General features: G+C 42.6%; 1 protein-coding gene across 13 annotated transcripts in view, besides 1 other annotated feature; it reads right to left on the bottom strand.

Moving 5' to 3' along the window:
• FHL1 (four and a half LIM domains 1) overlaps nt 1–19,479 on the bottom strand; it is a 64,658-nt gene extending 45,179 nt beyond the window's left edge. For 3 of the 13 annotated variants that reach the window (NM_001159702.3, NM_001449.5, NM_001159703.2), the window contains exon 1: nt 18,553–18,648. The gene's annotated coding sequence lies outside the window, so the exon portion shown is untranslated. Of the gene's footprint in view, nt 1–17,443; nt 17,623–17,690; nt 17,717–18,034; nt 18,099–18,302; nt 18,530–18,552; nt 18,649–19,168 lie in introns of those variants that run through there. The other 10 variants (NR_027621.2, XM_047441926.1, NM_001369326.1 and 7 more) reach the window with 5 other exon arrangements.
• Nucleotides 21,590–22,789: an enhancer, noted in NCBI's record as "BRD4-independent group 4 enhancer chrX:135225551-135226750 (GRCh37/hg19 assembly coordinates)". NCBI's record gives its function as "activates an origin of replication core promoter dependent on BRD2, P300/CBP, MED14 and CDK7 cofactors, and independent of BRD4, by STARR-seq in HCT116 cells {active_cell/tissue: HCT116}" and the evidence as "EXISTENCE:reporter gene assay evidence [ECO:0000049][PMID:35650434]".

Here is a 25,848-nt window from a genome sequence, read left to right as displayed (position 1 = left end):
GAGCTGGGGTCGTGAGGCTGAAGCACTCATGGTGGGTATATTTGTGTGTACTTTTCAATCTGCAGCGTGTAACTGTGTCTCTGACCAGAACATCATATAAATTACGTTGACAACATTGTGCAAGTTAAAGAATAAAAACAAAACAGCACACAAAACACTGGGTAAGATGACAGCAAAGTAATCCAAAATAAAGCTCAAACACTTTAGAGTTAGTCATGCTTTCAAAGAGATCATGATAATCATATCCCACCCTGACAAAATTAATAAGTGAAAATAGACAAACCACATATATTATTCCAGAAAGAAGCCAAGAGTTACTTTTTAGTGACATTTAACACATACAATCACTCTCCAGGTTTAGCAAAAGTATTGTGGTCATGGACACTGCTGACCCTTATCACTACTGACAACCAAGCTTCAATGATCCCCACATCACCAATCAATTGTGTGAATTACGTGGAAAAGAAAATCCAGTGACAACAGCTGTTTGAAAGAACTTAAAAGAAGAGTCAAATCAATCAAAAGAGATGATCCCCCACAGACTCATTGTCTCCTCTCAATTCTTTGAATGTGATTGTCATGGTAACGATTCCTTAATCACAGCCTTCAGAATATTCTCTCCCACCCAAGAAATCAAAGAACAGTGAATTCCAAACATCTTCTTAATTAGGTACACTTGTGATGAGACTGGGTGGCACAGACTTCTCATTTACCTCACTTTTATTCAAATACTTATGCTACTATAGAGGTCAGAAACATCGGCATGTGCACCATTAAAAACACATTTTAAATGTTTACCATAAAAGGCAATGATAAATACAACTGAGGTAGCCACTGGCTCATTTTCTTTAACAAAAGAACTGGTAAACTGGCTCTCATTCGGCAAAATAATTTATTGGAAATAAGCAGTACAGATTAAAGATGCCTCATTTTTAATAATTCCAACATAATTAAGATCTACAACATAACCAAATCTTTAACAGTATATTCATTTAATAAACAAGCAAAAACTGGAAGGATATTACCAGTTATAGAAATATAATAAAGTCCAGTTTTGTGTCCTTATATTTAGTACAGAGTATTATCTGGTGATATCCTCTATATACTCTGGAAGATCATTTATTCTACACGTTTCTATATTTATTTTATATGATACAATCATAATATTCCTCACAATTTGCAAAGAGAGGAATTATCCCTATCCAGTTTGGGAAAAGATGGGTTATATTTTTAAAAGTTATCTACCAGATATACTAAAAATTTCAAGTTATGATTAGTCCAGATTTTTCTGCAGATTTTTGCACTTCTTTCAAAAACTAAAGTGCACACATTTACCAAAGTTGGAGTAGTGAGTCATTTTTAACTTTGCATAGGAATATATGCAACTTTGCATAGGAATATATGCAACCCTGTAAAATACTGAGTCTGCTTTCATAGATTTTCAAATTAGTAAATAAAAGGTGTCTTTCCTTCCAGATGTGGCATGACCTAGAAACTAACAAAAGGTCCCACCATGCCCTAAATAAATACCAAGGAGCTCTTTCTGTGAGCCATTTCTGGATGCAAATTTGAATAATTTTTGGTCATAAAGGAAGAATAAGTATATTGGGGAAAAACATAAAGGGACAAATATATTTATTTTTTAACTGGAATATTAAAACCTTAAGAATACTTATGAATAAAAAAGCCATCGAAAATAGAATAGAGGCAAGGAGCAGTGATGCACGCCTGTAATCCCAGCACTTTGGGAGGTCGAGACCAGCCTGGCCAACATGGTGAAGCCCCATCTCTACTGAAAATACAAAAATGAGCCAGACATGGTGGTGCGTGCCTGTAATTCCAGCTACTTGGGAGGCCGAGACACGAGAATCACTTGAATCCAGGAGGCAGAGGTTGCAGTGAGCCGAGATTGCACCACTGTACTCCAACCTGGGCAAAAGAGCAAGACTGTGTCTCAAAAAAAAAAAAATAGAGTACACTACAGTTATCAAGCACAAAGAACAAATTGGAACAAAGGAAAAACACAAGTCAAATGGCAAAATCTAGCAAGAAAAATGGAGCAGCAAATATTTGCTGAAGTCAAAAGGTAAAAACCTTGAAATTCTTGTCCTTTGCCCTAATGTTCAATGGTATTTTTGTTTTGTTTTAAAAATATGAAGACTGATGTCCTCTCAATGACTATTACAGCAGCTCCCAAATAAAACAAATGATAAAATAAAAACTCACTTAATTGACTGATAGGCTTGAATTACTCATTGCCAAGTCTACAACTTTCCCACAACTCCAAGCATTCTTTCCTTAAAAGAAAAACAGCATTTTTTCCCTCTGACATGATGACCATGAGTAGCTTTTGAGGTGACTGTAATTCTGTATTTTTCTATAACTTGCTGTGGGTCACCTCCGCATTATAACTCCTAAATCAAAGCAACAAAAAACAAAGAATTGTACAGATCCATACATGACAATTTTGCCAGATGCATCTAGAGAGCACTGGCCCTCCCAGAAGTCTGAGAGGTACTCCTGAACCAAAGACATTCTAACATTGCTGTCACCCCAGCAACCATCGCCAAACCCTGCCCATTTTTCCTGCAAAAGAGCTTTCATACATTTTCTTCCTTATAATTTCATTTCTAAGGTCCTAATTTGGCCCATTATCACTTCACACCAGACTATTTCATCAGATTTCTTAACTATGGGTATGCCCTCTTCTTCACATAGCTAGCATCAGAATCATCTCTCAAATGTTCCACCTCGGATGTATCACTCCCATTGCCAAAAACCTTTCTCCATTGTAATCTAAAGGCCAAGTTTCTTTGAGTGAAATTCAAGCCTCTGGCTTTGGCTGACTCCCTGCATCTGACGTTCATTGCAGCTAGAGAATGACAGAAGTCTTGGTTCATGCCACTTTCCCCTAAACCAGTGATTCTCAAAATTGGCGGCACCTGGAGAGCCAAAGCAACTAGTGATGCCTGGGTGCCTGCTACGGTTTTCATGTGTCCAAGATTCAGGTGTTGAATCTTAATGGACAATGTGATGGTATTGAGAGGTGGGGCCTCTAAGAGGTGGGGTGATTAAACCGGGAGAGCTCCTCCCTGGTGGATGGGATTAAAGCTTCAACAGAGCCTTTGGCTCTCTTGCCCTTCTGCCTTCCGCCACATGAGGGCAGGGCGTTCCTCCCCTCTGGAGGCTGGAGAACTAAAGTGTCATCTTGGAAGCAGAGAGCAGCCCTTAACAATCGAACCTGTTTGCACCTTGATCTTGGGACTTCCCAGTCTCCAGAACCGTGAGAAATAGATTTCTGTTCTTTATAAGGTATCCAGTCTCAGATATTCTGTTACAGCAGCACAAACAAAGTCAGCGCCCCACCCCCAACAAAGTTCCCCCAGATGAATCTATTGTATGGCAGAGGCTGAGAACCACTGACCCAAATTCCTATAGCCTGTAATTGTCAGACTTTATTGTGCCTCAAAATCTCCTGAGAGAGGACCTTGTTAGGACACAGATGGCGGGGCCCCATCCCCAGCGTTTCTGATTCCCTAGGTCTGGAGTGGGGCCCATGAAAGTTGCATTTCTAACAAGCTCCCAGGTGATAGCTCACTGCAGCCTCCTGGGCCCATGTGATCCTCCCACCTCAGCCTCCTGAGAAACAGGGACTACAAACACACATCACCTCACCAGGCTAATGTTTTGTATTTTTTGTAGAGACAGAGTCTCACCATGTTGCCCAGGCTGGTCTGGAACTCCTGGGCTCAAGCTTCCGTTTTCCAGAATCTCTTCCACATTTATGAATCAATCTACAGAATATCTTAGAGATGATCTCGTTCATTTGCCTTTTTATAAACTGAGACCCAGAGTGGGGAGATGATTTGCCCAGAGTTTCCAATGCTTAGTGGCAGAACTCAGGCTAGGATTCAAAACTCCTGACTCTCTCCCCACACCCTATGCAGTTCAATACTCTTTCCACCACATCCTTCATGTGTCTTTAACAGCTTCTCCAATTAGAATGGGCGTTCTTTGCTTGAAGAGATCGCTAGTACTTTTTTTTTTTTTTTTTTTTTGAGACAGGGTCTCTCTCTGTCGCCCAGGCTGGAGTGGAGTGGCACAATCTCATCTCACTGCCACCTCCATATCCCAGGTTCAAGTGATCCTCCTGCCTCAGCCTCCTGAGTAGCTGGGACCACAGGCAGATGCCACCACACCCAGCTAATGTTTGTATTTTTAGTAGAAACGGGGTTTCACCATATTGTCCATGCTGGTCTCAAACTCCTGACCTCAAGTGATCCGCCTGCCTCGGCCTCCCAAAGTGCTGGGATTACAGGCATGAGCCACCACGCCCGGCCTTGAAGAGATCACTGTTGTTTTAAGGCTCCCCACAGCATCTAGCAAACCTAGCCAAGTGCCTTCTCCTTAGAGTAAGCACTGGATAAATATTTTTTTATTTCATCTTACTAAGTACTCAGCCCCATACTTTTCCTAAATTGGCATTGGCGCTCCATGAACTGTTTCCTTACAATTCAGCAACTGGGCAGCTCTGCTCCCATCAATTAGCCCTGGAGCAAATCCTTCATATCAGCACGCATGTGGCCATTATCTGCTATGGGGATAATCATGAACACATAAGGAAAATTTAGGGGGGTTTTAAAAGTTGCAGGAATAACTAAGTTTGTAAGGTGACAAAATTCAACTTTCAAATTGTATGTCAGAAAACGTTTACAAAATACCCTAAGTCTCATTTAATACCCAACAAACCACTGCAGCAGTAACAATCAGGCAGTCCAAGAATTATAAAGTATGTTGCTCTGGTACTTTGAATACTTAAGCCAATTATTTTCATGCTGAGGCTCTCCTGGTTCCTTAACAGAAAATTCAAAAGTAACTGGATTAAGGATAAAGAGAAGACAGAATGAGGGGAAGACAAAGAGGAGCCAATAGGTGGCAAGAAGCAGGTGGGTGAGCAGCAAGGGGGCAAAAGGATGCTGTCACATGCCTGTCCCACAAGCCGCTGCCACTATACCTCCCCAATCCTTCCAGATACTCACAGTAGTTAGGGAGCATGACTACACTAGGCCTAATGACGAACCCAGCCTGTCTATATCTGGGAAACAAACATATTATGATTGGGTTAGATGGTGACTTTTGCCATTTTTCCAATCAACATGAATTGCAGTAAAGTCACGTCAGCTGCAGGATTTGGTGTCGATTGTGAAGCTGACTGAAAGAAATCCAGTGGCAGTAGCTCACTACTGGCATCAAGTGACCATTTAGCCTGGCCACTGAACTGGAATCCTAGCTTCCATCATGAAATGGGACTTGAGGGAGAGGTTATTTTTATCCTCTTTCTCCCCTTCCTCATCAAAATCTGCTTTTAACAGGTGGTACCACATATATAGTCAATTCAGGCAACCAATGAAATTAAGAAAAATAAAATTCTGTCTAACAATAGATGTAACAATGAGGACACCTAACAGATCTGTACACAAAGAATTATTTCCAATATACAAAATAAAGTTTAATAAGCTAAACAAGCCATGAGTTTGAGACCAGCCTGGACAATATAGCGAGACCCTGCCTCTACGAAACTAAAACATTAGATGGGTGTGGTGATGCACACCTGCAGTCCCAGCTACTCAGGAGGCTGAAGCAGAGGGATTGTTTGCGCCCAGGAGGTCAAGACTGCAGTGAGCCACGATCGTCACTGTTTTCCAGCCTGTGTGACAGAGCAAGACACAGTTTCAAAAAAAACAAACAAACAAACAAAAAAACTAAACAGGCGAACTCTATAATCAACTCTTCCCTTTATTGGTATTTTTCAGATAATCACATGAACTATGAGGTTTTTCACCCCAGGTCTTATCACAGACCTGACAGACAACCACTTCAAGATACACAGTGCTTGAGTGATGGCTCCCATTTGCCTTCTAATCCTTGATGGCTTCTCAGTTTTTTTCTTTCCCTTTGCAGCTGCAATGTCCCTCTTAGACCTGATCCTCCCCTCACCCCCACTACCACGTACCACAGAATGTTCTGTTCTCATAGCCAACTCAGGAAAGCAATGGGTACTTGTAATTGCCCATCATAGTTACCCAGGTCCAATATAAAGAAACTATTTACATTAATGCCTATAAAAACCGAATCTTTTCACACACGTTTACTGTAGAGCTGGCCATACTGAGTAAGTGCATGGAAGTTCTGGCATTGGGCCTATGCTTCTACAAGCCATGCAATAATAGCCTTTGGCCCAAAGCAATCAAACTCTGACCTGGATATTGGCTCAGAGTTGGCATAAGTTCACCAACTGTCACTGTTGCTAATGATACCACAAATGCAAGGGTCAAAAGAGGGCCCACTGGGTTGTAGGGCAGGGAATTTGCCAAATCTGGGACTCCACTGCAAAGATGGCATGATGTTTCAAGGGTGGCAAGCGAAGTCCCAACCCACTGCTCCCACTGACCTATCTACTGACTATTGTGCAACTAGACATAGCATTGGAGGTACTGGGCAGCTCTCCTGGAACCTCATACTTCCCCTTTTCAGGGGCTCGTGCCACAAGTTACATCACTCAAGGAGAAACACATCTCTTATTTCACTCATTCTGAAAAACAAACACTGGAATTTATTTATTTATTTATGTATTTATTTAAGACAGGGTCTCACTCTGTCTCCCAGGTTGGAGTACAGTGGCGTGATCTCGGTTCACCGCAACCTCTGCCTCCCGCGTTTAAGTGATTCTCCCACCTCAACCACCCGAATAGCTGGGAATACAGGCACATGCCACCACACCCGGCTAATTTTTGTATTTTCAGTAGAGACAGGGTTTCATCATGTTGGCCAGGCTGGTCTCAAACTCCTGGCCTTAAGTGATCCACCCACCTCAGCCTCCCAGATTGCTGGGATTACAGGCATGAGCCACTGTACCTGGCCACAAACAGTAGACTTTAATCCACACGGTAATAATAAAAAGCTCCTGATCTAGTCTTTGTATTTCTGAAACCCATACATTTGAAGAGTTTTTTTTTTTAATTAGTAGACTTTTTTTTTTTTTAGCAGTTTTAGGTTTACAGAAAAACTAAGCAGGAAGTACTGAGTTTCTGTATACCTCCTTAGCATCCATCTCCCAGTTTCCCCTATTATTAATATCTTGTATTGATGTGGTACATTTGTCCCAATTGATGGGCCAACGTTAATACATTATAATGAACTAAAGTCTAGGGTTTACATTAGGGTTCATTCATTGCGTTGTGCATTTTATGGGTTTTGACAAATGTTGAATGGGTTCTTTAATATCTTTATGGCCCATTCTGAAAAACAATAAATCACCTTATCTCAGGACAATTTTAATTGCTTTACAATTATCAAAGGAAGTTTCCTAGGAATATTATAATGTAAACTATTCACTTATTTTTAATGATTCGTGGCTTCAAAGACGGTCATAACACAGCCCAGCAAGTATATTCAACTTTGATTATCCAAAAACCATCCTTTCACAACTCTCCAATTTCCAGTACAGCTCGAAACTGGAAAGGAGTGTGAAAAAAGTGTTGGATCACAGGAGAAACAGCCTCCAAGATGCTATCTGACACATTGGAATTAGTCTGCTGCCCTCTCGGTCTGGAGATGTTTATAAAAATGGCTTTCTCATGAGAAATCAGAGCAGTGCAAGAGAAGTGGCATCAGGATACGGGAAAGACATGGAGGAGGAAAATCAGGGAAGGAAGATAGGGCAGAAACAGTAGAAATCGAGAGTGGCAAGAGGAGACGACGCATGCCGAAGTAATAGCAACAGAACAGAGAGCCAGCGAGATATTTTTTGACACTTGGATTTTTCTAGAAGGTGACAAACGAAGGGACAAACTCCATCTCAATGCAGCAGCCTTTAAATTGCTCAATAATTATTAGTTCAATTAAATATATCAATGAGAGTAATAACAGCATATGAAAAGCTTGCTTTGCACCTAAGTGTGTAAAGACAGTACACCTTTCATGCACAGAAAATTCCCTCTGAAGCCTTCAAATCTTTTGTAATCCTCAAGGGATAGGGTTATTAATACATAGTAATTTTATACAGAAACATATATACACACACTAGCTGGAGGGATGGGTGGATGGATGAATGATTAGACAGATAGATACATATAAAACCTTTATTCTCAGTCTTCATTTTTACTTTACAAATAAGTACGAAGCAAAATTCAAATTTTACTTCTCTGGTTCTTGAGGGATTTAACACCTCACTGTAACTACTTGAGAAGAACATACACTGCTTTTCTGTCTATCAGAATTGTTTTTCTCTTGGCTGTAATTTCTCTTCAATTCAAGTACATAATGAAACTATTTACTAAGTAGCTTACTTGCAGAGGATGAGGGAAAGATTCTAGGAAATCAATACCTAGAATTTCTCTGTAGTATTATTTTAAACATAGAGAAGACAATTGCATTTTGGACATAAATATAGTCTTTTTATAGAGGAAGATCCACAAACTTTCAAATCTGAGTTTTGAAAGTGGCTCTCACACAAAAGCATAACGGGATATCTGGGGGAAAGGGGCTGGGGGAAGAATGTTACTGGAAAAGGGGCAAGGATAAACTTGTGGAGGTGATAAAAACATTCCACATCCTGATTGGGGCAGTGGTTTCATGGGTATATACATCTGTCTAAACTCATCAAATTGGAGGCTTTAATTGGATGCCGGTTTTTGTACCTAAATCATGCTCGGTGAAGTTGATATTTTAAAAGTGGCTCTAACAAAGGCCATCTGCTATAAGATGCAAGTATAAACTTTCACTTCCTCATATTAGTTTGGCTGCTTGGTTTCTTTCCTTAGTGTGATTAGCTGTGCTTAGTGCATTGGAAAATTCCTTCCTTACAAGAGGCAGACCTTCTGTGGCCTAGAAGGGATTGGGTCTAGGGTTTGAAAACTTGTGTTGACCCTGGCATCTGAAGGTGTGGAGTCTTTGACAAGCAACTTAACGTGCCTCTTTAGCCTCTAGAAGCTATGCGGCTGAGGACTTTATCTTTTCATTGTTGTAGGTGAAATGACGATCATTTACAGGGTAGTTGCTAGAACGTGTTGAAAAACAAATTTTGTTAAGTCAAATGTCTAAATCCACTGCTCTGGCTTAGTGATATAAATATTTTTGGACCGATAATTTGCAGGTCTGCCTATGTGTGTGTGTGTGTGTGTGTGTGTGTGTGTATTCCTTAGTCTCTGAGAAACCTGGGGGGAAACCTGTTACTTCAGTCCACCTGGCCACCCGAAAGTGCAGGTGATTGATTATGTCTGTAGGCAGACTTGCACTCAGCTTCCCAAACCAGAATGACGCATAAAACTAGACCTGGCAGAGTGCACTGAAAAACCAATCCTTAATGTCTCATAAATCATACATTTCAAATCTGACAAGAATCAAACAGCTTTATCCACACTCTAAAACTAAAAGTGAGTGACAAGACTTATAAATTAATCAAGTATAGAAATTTAGTTTTGTGCCATCCTTGTCAAAACAATCTTGCCAATAAAGCCTTTGCATTCCCAGCTATCATTTCCTTAGTACTGAAAAGGAAATTTAAAACCTTGTGACTGTTACAAATTCTTGTTATTAGAAAGTCTACAGAACAGCTCACGCCTGCAATCCCAGCAATTTGGGAGGCCGAGGAGGGCGGATCACCTGATGTCAGGAGTTCGAGATCAGCCTGACCAACACAGTGAAACCCCGTCACTACCAAAAATACAAAAATTAGCTGGGCATGGTGGTGGGTGCCTGTAGTCCCAGCTACTTGGGAGGCTGAGGCAGGAGAATCGCTTGAACCCGGAGGCAGAGGTTGTAGTGAGCCATGATTGTACCATTGCACTCCAGCCTGGGCAACAAGAGCGAAACTCCGTCTCAAAAAAAAAAAAAAAAGGCTATAGAACATTTAATGTCTTGCAACAGGAATAACATCCAGACAGTTTTTATGTGGGTAAAAAGAAACAGTAAAATGCTTACAAGAGATATTTATTATTTTGATTGTTATTTTCTTTTTCTAGGTTTCAATGCATTTCAAAAACAGTCCACAGGTATTTCCTATCTGTGCCTTTTTTATCTATAGTAGTTCAAAAATGAGGCACAAATAAATCTCAGTAGTTTAAATACAGAGGAATCCATTTTCAGAAGAGAAATAGTGTACTATAGGAAGCTGTGGAGAGCCGGTCACTTACTGACAATGTACATATCCATTAGCAGGCAATAATAAGGAACAGGAAGAAAAGCTACTATGTCTTGCAATAGGAATAACATCCAGAGAGATTTTATGTGGGCAAATAGAATATCAATTCTACAAGCAGTAAAATGCCGACAGGAGATACTTATTATTTTGATTGTTTTTTTTTTTCTAGGTTTCACTGCATTTCAAACAGTCCACAGGTATTTCCTATCTGTGAGTTTTTATCTATAGTAGTTCAAAAATGAGGCACAAGTAAATCTGTGGTTTAAATACAGAGGAAAATCCATTTTCAGAAGAGAAATACAGTGTACTACAGGAAGCTAGGAGAGTTGGTCACTTACTGACAATATACGTATCCATTAGCAGGCAATAATAAGGAACAGGAGCAAAAACTACTTAAAAATACACCCCTAGGCAAGAGTACAATTCTCTCACTTGTTCAAATAGTAAGCCCTCGGCAATAGGTATCCATACTCATTATTTCATGTAGCTGTAGCATTTGCTGGGACCCTAGCTGTAAAGAAGGAATGATTTTGTGTTCACAAGTTTACATGTATACATAGCCTATGTAATCTCTGTACATATTTTGTTTAATCCTATTCTGTCAATGACATTTCTGTATAGAGTGACAACAACTCTTCTCACTCCACATCTGCCCTGGAGATCAGCTTCCCTGCCCGGCCTAAGCTGAAAAACAGCCCTGGCCCAGCCCAGGGTGGGGTAATTGTTAACACTGGCAAACGGGGACAAGGGCAAGATGCAGTGGCAGATGAATGTGATAGAAGGATATGGATCCACGGAGAGCCTGGAAAAAGGAAAGTGAGTGCAGTCAGGTGGACTGAAAAAAGAGTCACCCTGAGAGTGAAACAGATACAAAGAGAGAATGACCCTCACAGCTACAGAAAGAAATGAAATGGGGCAGGAGAAGAGGGGGAAGAAAGCTAAATAACTGATTTTTTTAAGAATGCCAGATTAAGGCCGGGCGTGGTGGCTCACGCCTGTAATCCCAGCACTTTGGGAGGCCGAGGTGAGTGGATCACCTGAGGTCAGGAGTTTGAGACCAGCCTGGCCAACATGGTGAAACCCCGTCTCTACTAAAAATACAAACATTAGCAAGATGTGGTGTCACGTGCCTGTAATCCCAGCTAGTAGGGAGGCTGAGGCAAGAGAATCGGTTGATGCTAGGAGGCGGAGGTTGCAGTGAGCTGAGAGAGCGCCACTGCACTCCAGCCTGGGCGACACAGGGAGACTCCATCTCAAAAAAAAAAAAAAGATGCCAGATTAAAACAACAATTTCACGTATGTGTGTACAGTTTAATGATACCACACTGCACACATTTACTACAATTTAACTTTTGACCTTAGTTTGGAAGCAGATGCAATCTTTAAAATCTCTATCCCACAATTTCAACAGATATCTCCCTTTATAAAGGAAAAAAATACTTTCATGGAGCAAAAGCCCTAATTGCGATCTTCCAGGCTACCATGTCTAAAGACTCTTTCAATGTCATCTTTCATTTTTGTACCTATAGGCATACTTCATATGCCTTGGCACTTGCCTCATAGGCTAGAGAAAATTAAACTGAGAGCTAGACCCATCCAAGAGGTTCCCCATCACTAAATGTTCAATTACAATAAAGCAAATAACATGAAAAATTCCTGTACTGCCCACAGCTGTTCGGAACATATTCTGAAATTAGCAAGTTATTATACTTGGCCTTTTAGTATCCTTTATAGTATACTCCCACCACAATAGCTTGTTCTTTTGAGGGTCAGGCCATGAAAAAGTTTTTGACTGTGAAGAATCTTTAGGAAATAAAAAATTTACCTACCTATGAAGACAATCTAAAAATTCAAGCTGGAACTCTGACGTTAGCACATTAGGTGCTTGACCCCTTTGAGCCTCAGTTTCCTCATCTGTAAAATAATGGGGGGTGGGTACTAACAGCCTCTTTTAGCATTGAAACTTGATCATTCAAGCTGGAAGAGGAGAAATTTGAAGGAGCTACCCTTAAGCTTCTTTACATAGCTGCCAGGAAGAGGCTATAGCATAGTTCTCCAACTACCTGTCAGCTTTCCCTTTTCATGGGTTATGACCATGACTTCCATCTAGAGATGTAGCAGTCGTTCAGAAAATCTAGTCATTTAAAAAAAAATAACACACTATATAAGTTGGAGGTTTTGCAATGGGCTTGAATCCACCATTTTTAGAAAGTACTCCATTTTTAAAGGACATACAAAATATTGTCATTAATTTTGGGGTGGTGGATTATGACTGATTTTGGTTTTCTTCTTGAAGCTTTTCTATATTTTCTGCATTTTCCTACAATAAAATGTACCATTCTTATTGAAAAATTTGATTTTCAAAAGGATCATTCATTCTTGCAAGTTCTATCAGATCTCTCAAGTCTACTCTAGAATGAATCAATGGGTGATGGGACAAATCAGATGGTACCACCATGCATGTCTGTCTATACACAGTGGTTGATTACTCAAGTGGCTGATTGCTGTAGTAGAATCAGGACATTATTATTATAATCAGAATCTATGGCTCACAGTTCTATGTGGATATCAAAACAGGCATTTTATCTAAATAACATTTTTTTCCAGCATCCTGGCCCTTGAGAATCGTGGTTAAAATTCCTTTCCAATTGAAGCAAATGAAATTAAACATGTGGTCCTTTTCCTGCCCCCCCCCACCTCCCGCAAAAAAATGCTTTTCAGACAAAATGATTGTGATTGGGCTGTTTTTTAAATGTTTCCTCTTTTTGTGCTCCGAAACAAAACACGTTAAAACTTAAAGTAAATATTTAGTTGTCAAAACAAAACAACCCCATATGAAAAACACAAGAATGAATTTGATGCCGCGTATTATAAAAACAATTTCCATAGCAAGCACAAATGTTTAAATTGTGTAAAAAGAAGACAAAAACCAAATGTTGTCACTCCTAAGTTCTACAGGACAGCCCTAAGAAAGGTGGAAGGTGAGCTACCGAAAGGTTAAGCACAGATTTCCATAACTTCCAGGTTCATGGTTATCAAAGCACAGCTTGGAAAATTCAGGTGAGATAGAAAATGAAGTTTGACAAAATGACAATCACTGTTTCAATTTGAGTAGATCTCTAGAACAAATTCCAGGTAGAATTCGATTCTTATCAGATGAGGAAGGTATAGCAATTCATCTCTCCATTCTCTACCTGAATATAATCCAACGTCTACTACGTGTTACCTCTCAAATTACTTTTTTTTTTTTTTTTTTTTTTGAGATGGAGTCTAGCTCTGTCGCCCAGGCTGGAATACAGTGGCGCTATCTCGGCTCACTGCAACCTCCGACTCCTGGATTCAAGCAATTCTTCCTGCCTCAGCCTCCCGAGTAGCTGGGATTACAGGCACCCACTACCACGCCTGGCTAATTTTTGTGTTTTAGCCATGACGGGGTTTCACCATGTTGGCCAGGCTGGTCTTGAACTCCTGACCTCAGGTGATCTGCCCGGCTTGGCCTCCCAAAGTGCTGGGATTACAGGCGTAAGCCACTGCGCTCTGCCTGAAGTTACTTTTTACCCAGAGCCAGTTACCTTCCTTTCTCCAAGAGGCTCAACTTACTTCCTACCTTTAGAGTAAGCAGCAAAGAGTGGCTTGGTTGTGGGACATCATCTCAAATCCCAACCTTGCTGCTTATTAGTTGTGCAATCTTAGACAAGTTACTTAACAAATATCTCCCACTCTCATCTGTAAAATGTGCATCATAACTGCAGAGTTGCTCTGAGAATCAAATTAGACAATGAGTATATATTTAATTTGCGTGCTTCCTGAAATTTTAGTAGGTGTTCAATTAATGTTGGTTCCCTTTTCCCCTACTCCTTGTCACTTACTCCAAGTATGATCACATTTAGCATTCATGGTTTTAATTACTCTCAGGCAAGCCCAATGGTATATAGGACATATAGTAATTTTCATTTTGTTACATAAGATTTTGAATGATGCATGCCGCAAGGGAGATAATGCATAGTTGTGCTTAAAACCATGAACTTAAAAGGAGTAATAATCTTAATCTTGATTTCTACTTCTAACCTTGACCAGCTGTGAGGCTCCAGGCAAGATCTTCTACCTCTCTGAGTGTGGTTCCTCATTTATAAAATGAAGAGAATATATAATGTATACAAGTCCTCTGGCACAGAGTAAGTGCCATAAATGGTAGCTGTTATTTTCTTTAATTCTTCAGGTTGGTATGCAGGAACTAGTCACTTTTATTTATTTATTTTATGTTTTTGAGACAGGGTCTCACTCTGTCGCCCAGGCTGGAGTGCAGTGGTGCAATCTCAGCTCACAGCAACCTCCGCCTCCTGGGTCCAAGCGATTCTCGTGCCTCAGCCTCCCAAGTAGCTGGGACTACAGGCGCACACCACCACACCCGGCTAATTCTTTGTATTTTTAGTAGAGACAGGATTTTGCCATGTTGGCCAGACTGGTCTCGAACTCCTGGGCTCAAGTGATCCGCTTGCCTCAGCCTCCCAAAGTACTGGGATTACAGGCGTGAACCACAGCACCTGGCTGAAACTAGTCATTTTTGAGACGAATAAAGTGAGCTCCGCCAACTACTCAGTCACCTCAAGACGCTGTTATTGTTCTCTACTCTCCTGGAATTATGTTCTGCTACATTATGTAGAGGAAATTACATCAACCTCGGCATATCGACATTTCAGGCTGGATAATTTTGTTTGCCGCCAGGCACTGCCCTATGCGCTGTTGGATATTTAAGCAGCATCCCTGTCTCTACCAACTGGATGCCAGTGGAGTGCATCTAGCAAAAATTGTTGAGTGACCCCGGGGGGCAAAAGCGCCCTGGCTGAAAACCACCAGTGTGGCACTATCCACAAAGAGGGGATTTCTCCAGGCACTCAGGAAGCAACCCTGTAGAAGGTCAAAGGTTTATTCGAGCTACTATTTAGGACTATCCACTCTTCTGGGCTCCATCATCCATTACTATCCATAATTCAAAGTTGACCCCAGAAAAATATTTTGGGGAGGCCCAATTTGCCATCAGAGATGCATTAAGTCGCAGGAAGGGATGCTGGCCATCCACTTCTCCCTACTCTATACAGTAATACAAAGCTGAATGTAAACATCAAGAAATCTTTTTTGTCTGTCCAAAAAACTCCAGACAATTCTTGATTACTCACAACAGATTCACTGTCTATTTTTCATTTTCATAACTTCACCAGAAAGGTGGAAGCCATTTCTTATCAACCAAATAACTCCACACCTAGCATGGAGCCTCCAACAGAGGAGGTAACTCGGCAAATGTTTGTTGAATAAACGAAAAGTCATATATTCTGCTTAATTAAGTACACCACTGACCAAAAAAGAACCTTTCTCTGCTCTTGTCCCACAGGAGCTAAAAGAAAAGATCTTTTAAGAAAAAACAATTACAGTCTACTCCCTTTTACCCCAAATCCAAACAACTAGATAGTTCAATTAACAAAAAAAAGTTCAGTAGGCAAAAGCTGGGGAAAGCAGCCAAAAAGATAAGGCCTCAAGTTCGAGCAAGCAGGAATATTTGGTTCAACTCCCATAAGGTTATAAAAGCCAATGTTGCTGGCACCGGACGGGGGAGAAAGGAGAGGCATGGGGAAGAAGGGAACTAGGAGGTGGAGAGTGGGAAAACAGGGTTCAGTCACAGGAGATTACCTTCCATGCCTTCAACAAACTTTTTTAATGCTCAAACTTTAGAGGTGAGGGTTAATTTCTTACATGAAAACGTGATTTACAAATTTTCAAATGCGTATCAGCAAAATCTTTAAGAACATCTAGCAAGAGAATTTGATCCGACTTCTGTTAATTCCTGAAATGTCTTTCATGTCCTAGAGGGCAACAGATTCTCAAAAAGCCAGGTAAAAGATACGCCATTTACACCTTCTGTCCAGAGAGAAACTTAAAGCCCACTTCCTATCAACATGCTTCTCTCTGTAAAAGATTTTTTACCACTTTCTGCATTCTACTCCTCAGAGAAAAAAACATTATGCTTAAATTTTATTATAAAAATATGCTATTTTTTCAATTGCTATTTGGGGGCACAGAATGAATACCATACTAACATTATAATACAATAGTGTAAATAAATGCATTTTTGTCGGTCTTTGTGACTAAAAATCTATTTCCCCTTAAACATTTCCAGTTTAACACTTCCAGGAAAAAAAATAATTATTTTGTTTTAGCGGTCGATTCATTTAATATATATTAAATTACCTCCAATGCACTGGTATTATACAGGAGGAATTTTATCAATTTAAATCTTACACAATTTTTCTTAGTTTCACTCAAAAATCTAGACTTGGCTGAAAAAAATATTTTCCTTTTCTGAAAATTAAATATGGGAATGGTAGCCTAGAATTTCAAAAACCATATATGGTTACAGAATCTATATGATAGTCTTAGACTATGTACTTATCGTGAGGTGGTTTGCACAAATCATGGCCTATCTGACCAATTTCCTGTTGCATAAAGATTATATTTGCCCTTAAAAATGTTAAATAAGCATTTTTAAAGACTGAAGGTAAAGACTTGATCGGAACCTTATGTAACCAAAAATGGGAAAACACTATAGTCTCACCACATAAAAGGCAAATGCCTGCTTAATACGTATTCTTCTTAAGCAAACATGAACATGAGTTTGTAAAGGCAAAGCTACCATCCCAGAAGCTCTTGCTTCTTCAGTGTAAGGATCGGGAGGGCCCGGTTCTTGGAGATGAGCTGAGGCAGGAAAGGCTTTACAAAATTCCAGGGGGGCCCATAATTTAAACTTGTGCTATTCTGCAAATGTTCACATTTGCAAGGAACACCGTAACGTTTACATTAAAACTGTCTTAAGATGACGGAAAAAATTATTCCTGCTGTTCTATAAGCTTGCCATAGACTTGATAACCCAGAGAAGAATTACAAGCAATTACAAGATGATGGCTCCAATTAGGAAAACTGGATCTATTCCAAACCCAAATCAAAGGGGGCTCGGATAATCCCGAAGGGATAATTTAAATGAATACAAGGGGACTTCCAGCAAATACATACGCTTATTCTACTACTTCTACTCTTCTCAAAACCAAGCGAAATGCTACAAGGATGTATCTCCTGCCCTTCAGGAAATTCAAAATCCAAACCTGGCATCCCATTAATAAGCCTTGTCCTTTTCTTTTCCTAAGGGATCTCCCTAGTATGGGGTTTTTATTGTAAAAGGCAATCAAAACAAACCTGAGAAACTCGCACATTCCCAAATGCAGAAAATAATACAGCGCTCAACACGAACGACACAACAGTCGCTTAGCCTTGATGATTTTTTAACCTTTACCTAGTCCTGGACGCTAAGAGCAGAGAGGAAAGGAAGAGAAACTTCGAAAGCAGAAACCTCTGTCCCAGAGCCTAGAACAGACGGCACCTTGTAAGGATTTCACGTTTTTCGAGGCGGGAGAGGTCACGCCCTGCAGTTTTGAAAACCCACCTTCTAAGGCTCAACCCCCGTGATAGAACCTTCCTCGTGCTTCTCTAGATTCCACGCTGGAGCTGAAATACCCCCTCCCCACCCCCATTCGCCAAACCCGCGCCATCCCCCTTGGACAGAAGAACCACAGCGGGCCCTCCCCCTCCCTCCTTATTCTGCACCCCACCCCCATCCTCCAACCACCCCACAAGCATCCCAGTCAAGAAAACCGAGGCGGGCCCCCTCACGTCTACTCCTCGTCGCCACCCCCGCCATCCTCGTTGAGCGAAGCAAGGCAGGTCTCCCATCTCCCCCCTCCACGATCCCCGCCATCCTTGATGGGAAAACCAAGGGAGTCGACCCACCGCTTCATCCTCACCCGCTCCCCACAGCCCCTGCTAGCTATCCTGGCTGAAAGAACCAAGAGGTGTCCCCACCTCGCCCCACCCCCCACTGCCCGCCATCCTTGGTGACAAAACCAGGGCCCCCCCTTCACTCCCTCCTCACTCCCCACCATCCCCCGCACAGGAAAACATGGAGAGCCCCCATTTCACTCCCGATCCCCCCCACCTCCACCCCACTGCCTCTTAGTCCCCATCGAGCCAAAAACCCAGGGAAGGCCGAGGCACGCACCAGGGGGGACCTCGCACTCGCAGTCCCTCGTCCCGCACCCCGCAGCCCGGGACGGCCCCTGGCCCCCGGCCTCAGCGAGGCCGCCGAAGCCGCAGTACCCAGCCCTGGAAGGCCAGGCAGCCGGGACCGCAGGGACCAGCCCCGAGCGGCGGCGGCGGCGGGGCAGAAGGGCAGCCGCTCCCCCGGGACCCAGGACGCCGGCGGGCGGGAGGCACACACGCGCGCACAAGCGGAAAGAAAGCGGGCTTACTGCGTGGGGATGCTCGCCCGCGCAGCTGTCTCGGCGGCGGCGGCCGCTGCCTGCACCGAGGCCGAGGCGCGGCGGTGGCGGCGGCGGCTGCGGACTGAGCCCCCTCCGCCGGGCGGTGGATGTAGGGCGCGGGAGGGGCGCGAGGGGAGGGGTGCGCGCCTGGGAGGCGGGGAGGGAAAGAGGGGAGGAAGCAGGAGCGCGGGGGCGGGCGCGGCTAGCCAGGGGCGGGGCGGGGCGCGCGCGGGGCCGGGCTCTGCCCACTGCACGGAGGCTGTGTGCGGGGCGCGCGCGCGGGAGACGGCCGGACGGGCGTGGGGAGAGGGGCGGCTTGCCACGCACCCCGCGCGCCCACGTGCCCCCGCCACTGGAGAGGGCCGGGCACGCGGAGAGGGTGGCTGCGGGGACGCGGTGGCAGGCTCTTTCCCGAGGACCGGCTCGGATCCGAAGACCGGGAGGAGGGCGGGCCGGGGGCGCCTCGGGCCCCCTCCCTCGCGCAGCGGTCCTTAGAGGCCTGCGGGAGTCACGAATCACTGCAGGCGGCTGGGGCTGGGGAGGTGGGAGCAACAAAGACAGCCAAGTGAGGGTGGCGTCTCGCCTCACCGGGGTCCTCGCTAACCTGCGCACTCCCTGAAAAGCGGCCCCGCTTCGGGGCCCACGCCGTTTCGGCCTCCGACTTCGGAACCCGGTGGCTTGCAGCGGCGCCGAAAGGCCCACCGACGACCCCTCCCCTTAGTAGCAAGCCGGAGGGAGCTAAATAAGCCCCATCCATAATCCCAGTGCCACCATCCAGAGCGTTTTAACGTCACTCAGAAAGCACCGATGGCAAAGCGGCGCGTGGCGTCTCATTCACTCAGCATTCAGTTTACTGAGCCCTCGCCATGTGCCAAGCTCAGTGCCGGGCTCTGGTGATAACAGCGTTGTCTGCAGACAGTACGCACCCTGCCCTGGGAGCTTGTAATCTAGTGGGGGAGACAGACAATAAAGAAGTGAGAAAATAATCAAATTTGGATAAAGCCTGTGCAGGAAAAGTACAAATAGTGTGATTAGGAAAGGAGGAGGTGACATTTAAGCTGAACCCTGAAAGATATGAAAGAGCCAGGAAAAAGCTTTCCAGAAAACAAGTCAGAAGGAGGGACCAAATCTTGATGCTTTGGAACTAAAAGGTGGTGATCATGATTGGCGCCAGGAAAGCTGGGGAGAGTACCAGAAAGTAAGGCTGGACAGGTTGGCAGGGACCAGATCGTGGATTGCATACTAGTCCATGGGCAGGTGCAGTCCATGGGCAGGCCACTTCATTCCAAAATCAATGGGAGGGCATTGAATGAGTGGCTTAACCCCAAGGCGTGACACGGTCTGACTTATATTTCTTTTAACTAAACTTTTGTCTTTTGGGATGATTGTAGATTCACATGCATTTGTAAGAAATAATACAGAGAGATCTGGGGTCCCCCTTGCCCAATTTCCCCCAATGCAAGACTACACTATAAGATAACTAGAATATTGACATTAATACAATCTACCAATCTTATTTTGATTTCTTCAGTTTTACTTCTACTGTGTGTGTGTGTACGCGCGTGCACGTCTGGTATGTGTGTGTTCTATACAATTTTATCACGTGTGGCCTCTTTCCACTACCATGGTCAATTATAAAACAGTTTCATCATTGCAAGGATCTTACCTGTTGTATTGTAATTATAAAACAGCAATAACTATCTCCTCAGTTCCCCAAGTCTTTCACCATTGGCAACCACTGATCCGTCCTCCATTTCTGTAAGTTTGATATTTTGAGAATGTTTTGTAAATGAATCATACAATATTCATTTTGAGATTGGCTTTTCTCACTCGGTTTTGAGTCCCTTGAGATTCATCCAAGTTGTTGGGTGTTTCCATAGCTTGCTCTTTTTTATTGCTGAGTAGTATTCCAGATCTGGTTTACATTTTTAAAAGACCACCTTGACTACTATATGGAGAATGGTTCAGAAGAGATTAAAAATTTAAATAGGGAGATTAGTTAGGAGGCTTTCTCAATAGTTCCTATCAAAGCTGATGGTGGTTTAGATTAGGGTGGTGCTAGTGGAGGAAAGTGGAAGGATTTGATGGAACAGGGTTGCAGAGGGAATTGGAGTTGAAGTAGAGACAGCATAGGGTAGACAACTGTTTTGAGACTTTCCAATGTAAATGGGAAGAAAAATGGAGCAGAACTGGAGGAGCGAGTAGGGACAAGCAAAGATTCTCTTCTCTCTTTGTGATTTGAGAGATGAGAGCCTGTTGGTCAACAGTTTAGGGATAATCAGTAGAGAGGGGTTGGTGAGGCATGACAGGAGGGTTTACTAAAGGAGTCAAGTCCCCTGCCTAGGTGAGATGGAATAAGGGCTGGATTCATGGGGAGAATTGGCCCTCCATCTGCCGAAAGTCATTCTTCACTGTACAGAAGACCATGGAGGTAGATGATGATGACAGGGGCGGGTGTAGGGATGGTGTGGTATACACAGATCTAGCAAATAGATCCTCATGATTCCTATTTGCCCCATGTCGCACAAACTGGCTAGTGGTCTCCCTTACCAGAGAACCAGCAGCATAAGCGCTTACAAAGTACCCTTCTCTGCTCCTAGCACCAGGGGCCTGGGCTTTCTCTTTTCCCCTTCTAAGCCCTCAGAAGCACTGAAGTTTGGTCCTTCTAGATGGCAAGAGAAGTCCCGCTACACTGCCTAGGAGAAGAGGAAGCCAATCTGCCCCCACTCCATCATGGAAAGGCATTGAACAATTAGCTTGGCCACAGACAACTCCCCACCCCATACCAGCCCAAAGAAACAGCCCAGCCCAAAAGAAACAGCCAAGAGGCACCCATGATGGAAGGCTCTGGACAGAGCACCCTCTTTCAGGGAAACTTCTGGCTATTCTTTGGCATTCAATCAGTGTTAGTTGTGATTCATTCTTCTCAAGACTCCTTCCTTTCTCCCTCTTCCTTTATTCATTCTTCCTTCTTGCCTTTCCAAGGAACAGAGCACGAGGAAAACGGCCTTCAATTTCAATAGAATTTAAGCAAGAATTTCCAAGAATTTCCTTGGAAGGAAATATGGAGCATTTATCAGCACACAAAGTAATCAAGTCCTTTACATTCTCTTCAAAAAGTACCATTAGAACTAATAATTCTAAGTTATTGAAAATGTATTATGTAATGGACAGTTTGCATACATCATTTTATTTACTCTTATATGAGATACTTTACAGATGAGGAAACCGAGGCTTAAGCAACCTTGGAACCAGGATTTAAAACCAAGCAGCATATTTCCAGAGCCCACAATCCAAACCTGTATACTCCACTTCCAAAACAATGAAAAAAGACTGTTCATCACTTTTATTACAGTCATCCAAAGTGGCTGCTTCTTTCAGGTTAGTTATTTTTCCCCCAAAGTGGTGCTAAGACCTTCATCTGACTTTGTCAATGGAATCCACAGGGAAACAGTGGCTCCATTTCATGATCATCACGTGTCCTGTCAATGGTGGAGCCCAAAACAGCTCTCAGAGAACACATCTACTTCTCCAGCCAGCCTTACCTCCTGCCTCTCCCCAGCCTGTAGGCTCTTAGTCCGGGATCTAGAAGGATCTCCAAAAACATCCTGTGCATTCCCCTCTTGAAACCTTAGTTACTGCGGTAACTAAGTAACCTTCTGCCTAGAGCAGTTTCAACAACTTCCTGTAGGTCCAAGGCTGAACTCTCCCCTGCCTGCCCCCACCCTGATCTATTTCTTCCCGCCCCCTCCCCGCCCCCCCCCGTATTTCCTGTTTCCATTAATGGCACACCACCCACCCACGTGGGCAAAGTAAAAGCTATTACTTTTGACTCCATCTTTTTCACATCCCGTAGGTCATCAAGTCCTAGAAATTCTACTTCTGAAATAGTGAAACCTCACCGTCTCTTTGAAGCCGTTCCTGACCAACTCAGGCAGAATCCAGTTCTCCCGTGGCATTTGGTCATTTGGTTCATGCCGATAGGTAATCGTGACATACCTGGTCATTTCATGTGTCTGTTTTCCCCAGCAGATCATAAGCTCCTTGAGGGCAAGCAATGTATTTTCCTTGTTTATACTTCCAGTTTCTTGGAACATGGTAAGCATTAAATTATAATAGTGTTGTTGTTTTGTTGTTATTGTTGTTGTTGTTGTTATGGAGTTTCACTCTTTTGCCCAGGCTGGAGTGAAGTGGCCTGATCTCTGCTCACTGCAAGCTCCACCCACCAGGTTTAAGCGATTCTCCTGCCTCAGCCTTCCGAGTAGCTGGGATTACAGGAGCCCACCACCACGCCTGGCTAATTTTTTGTATTTTTAGTAGAGATGGGGTTTCGCCATGTTGAAAACTCATTGTGGTGAAATATAAACATATACATAATAGAGAAAATAATGTAATGAACTTCCATGCACCCAACACCCAACTTCAGAAATTATCAACACATGATTTATTTTGTTTTAATTGTAGTTCTCCTACCAATTCCCTCCAACACACATACACCGGATTATTTTAAATCAAATGCAAAACATCATATCATTCCATCCAGAAATACTTAAGTGCATATGGCTAAAAGATAAAGATGCTTTTCTCCTTTTTAGAACATAAGAACAATATCATCATCACACCTAGGAACAGTTAGCGAAAATTTCTTAATACCAAAAAATACCCAGTCAGGATTCTGAATTCTCCAGATGTCTCCCAAATGTTTTTACAGTTCATTTATTTCAAGCAGGGTATTTTTTGTGACATGTAAAATTCATATGAAATTCACATTTCAGTGTCAAGAAATAAAGTGTTATTGGAACACAAGTACATTCATTTGTTTACATATTATCTGTGGTTACTTCCTCAGTACAACAGTAGAACAGAGTAGTTGTGACAGAGATCATATGGCCCACGAAGCTGAAGATATTTACTGGTTCTTCACAGGAAATGTTTGTTGACCCCTGATACAAACAATTTCTATTTTGGCGACCTGGTAATCTGTTTAATGATAAGCATCTTTCCATGTCAAGAAATAATCTTTTTTTTTACTATTATTTTTAATTGACACATAATCATTGTGCATCTTTATGGGGTACAGTGTGATATTTCAATACATGTATACAATGTGTAATGATCAAATCAGGATAATTAGCATACCCATCACTTCAAATGCTGATCTTTTTTTTGTTTTGTTTTGTTTTGTTTTTTTGAGACGGAGTCCCCAGGCTGGAGTGCAGTGGCGCAATCTCAGCTCACTGCAACCTCTGCCCCTGGGTTCAAGTGATTCTCTTGCCTCAGCCTCCCGAGTAACTGGGATTACAGGCACACACCACCATGCCTGGCTAATTATTTTGTATTTTCAGTAGACTTGGGGTTTCTCCATGTTGGCCAGGTTGATCTCGAACTCCTGACCTCAGGTGATCCGCCCGCCTTGGCCTCCCAAAGTGCTGGGATTACAGGCGTGAGCTACTGTGCCTGGCCTGATCATTTCTTTGTGTTGGGAACATTCAATTTGGCTCTTCTAGATTTTTGAAAATATACAATAATTGTTAACGATAGTCACCCTACAGTGCCATACAACACCAGAACTTATTCCTTCCATCTAGCTGTAACATTGTTTGCATTAACCATCTTATCACTACTACCTTTCCCCTTACCCTTCCCAGGCTCTAGTAACCACTATTCTACTCTGTACTTACATGAGATTAACGTTTTTAACTTCCACATATGAGTCAGAATATGCAGTATTTGTCTTTCTGTTCTTGGCTTATTTCACTTAACATAATGTCCTCCAAGCTCATAATGTTGCTGTGAATGACAGGGTTTCATTCTTTTGTTTTATGGCTGAATAGTACTCCAGTGTGTGTGTGTGCGTGTGTGTGTGTGTGTATCACATTTTCCTTATCCATTCATCTGTTGATGGACACGGGTTGACTCCATATTGTGGCTGTTGTGAATAGTGCAATAAAACTTGGGAGTGCACATTTCTCTTTGACATATTGATTTTGTTTCCTTTGGATATATACCCAGTAGTGGGATTTCTGGATTATAGGCTAGTTCTATTTTTAGCTTTTTGAGGAACTTCTATACCGTTTTCCATAATAGTTGTACTAATTTACATTCCCACCAACCATCTACAATAGTTCAGTTTTCCCTACATCCTTCCCAGAATTTGTTATTTTTGTCCTTTTGATAATAGCCATTCTAACTGGGGTGAGGAGACATCTCATTGTGCCAGCCACGAATTTTAAAGGCCCATTTATTACATTTGGTTGCTATGTCTCTGATTAATGGTTCTTGGGTGAATGGAGGGATGGGTGAATGAATTCTCTCTACCTTCTTTCACCCATTTCTACCACAGTCCAAATTTTACCTGTTTTACAAAGATCTGTCTATCTGATGTTGGAACCTGCTCAAACCCTTCTGTCTCTCTCTCTCTCTTTTTCTTTTCTTTGCTTTTTTTTTTTTTTTTTTTTTTTTTGAGACGGGGTCTCACTCTGTCACCCAGTTGGAGTTCAGTGGCGCGATCTCGGCTCGCTGCAACTTCAGCCTCCCAGGCTCAAGTGATCCTCCCACCTCAGCCTCCTGAATAGCTGGGACCAGAGGCATGCACCACCATGCCTCTCTTCTCTCTCTTTTTCTGTAGTACGTATCATAAATGTCTCTTGCCCTTATTACACTTAATCTTATATTAAAGATTTTATGAAGGCAGCTTATCTCTCATGTAAAGTTTTCAGCTTCTTGAGGGTAAGTAAAATGCTTACTCACTATTGCGTATTAAAACCGCAATTACTTTTGCACCAACCTAATACCTAGTGGCACCAAGCACAGGGCCTTGCTCATATTAGACAACCAAATAAATTATTTCTAAGCAGAATGGAGTTAATAATTAAGACCAACATTCATAGCATCCTTTATCTCCCTCAGGTATAGTCTAAGCACCATGAGTCTTGGAGTCTTGGAATCTTGCAAACATGGGTTCAAGTCTAAGCTTGGCCTTGGTTGGTGGTGTGGCCCAGGGTAAGTTATAAACTCAGGTGTGTTCAAACATTTTTGTTCACATGCTCCCTAAAATAATTTTGAAAACCTGTGTGCCCCCACGCCATTCAGTTTAGAAATAATTTATGTGGTTGTCTAATATAAGAAAGGCCCTGTGCTTGGTGCACTAGGTACACAATAGTGAGTGAGACATTTTACTTACCTTACCATTCACGTTACAAGCTGGTATCTAAACTTTTTCATCCAATGTTTAAATAGTTACAAAACGAAGTTATTTGGGGCATATAGTATATACTGACATTC

Source organism: Homo sapiens, chromosome X, assembly GCF_000001405.40.
Source record: "Homo sapiens chromosome X, GRCh38.p14 Primary Assembly".
NCBI classification, from domain to species: Eukaryota; Metazoa; Chordata; class Mammalia; order Primates; family Hominidae; genus Homo; species Homo sapiens.
This window is presented reverse-complemented; position numbering and strand designations above follow the sequence as displayed.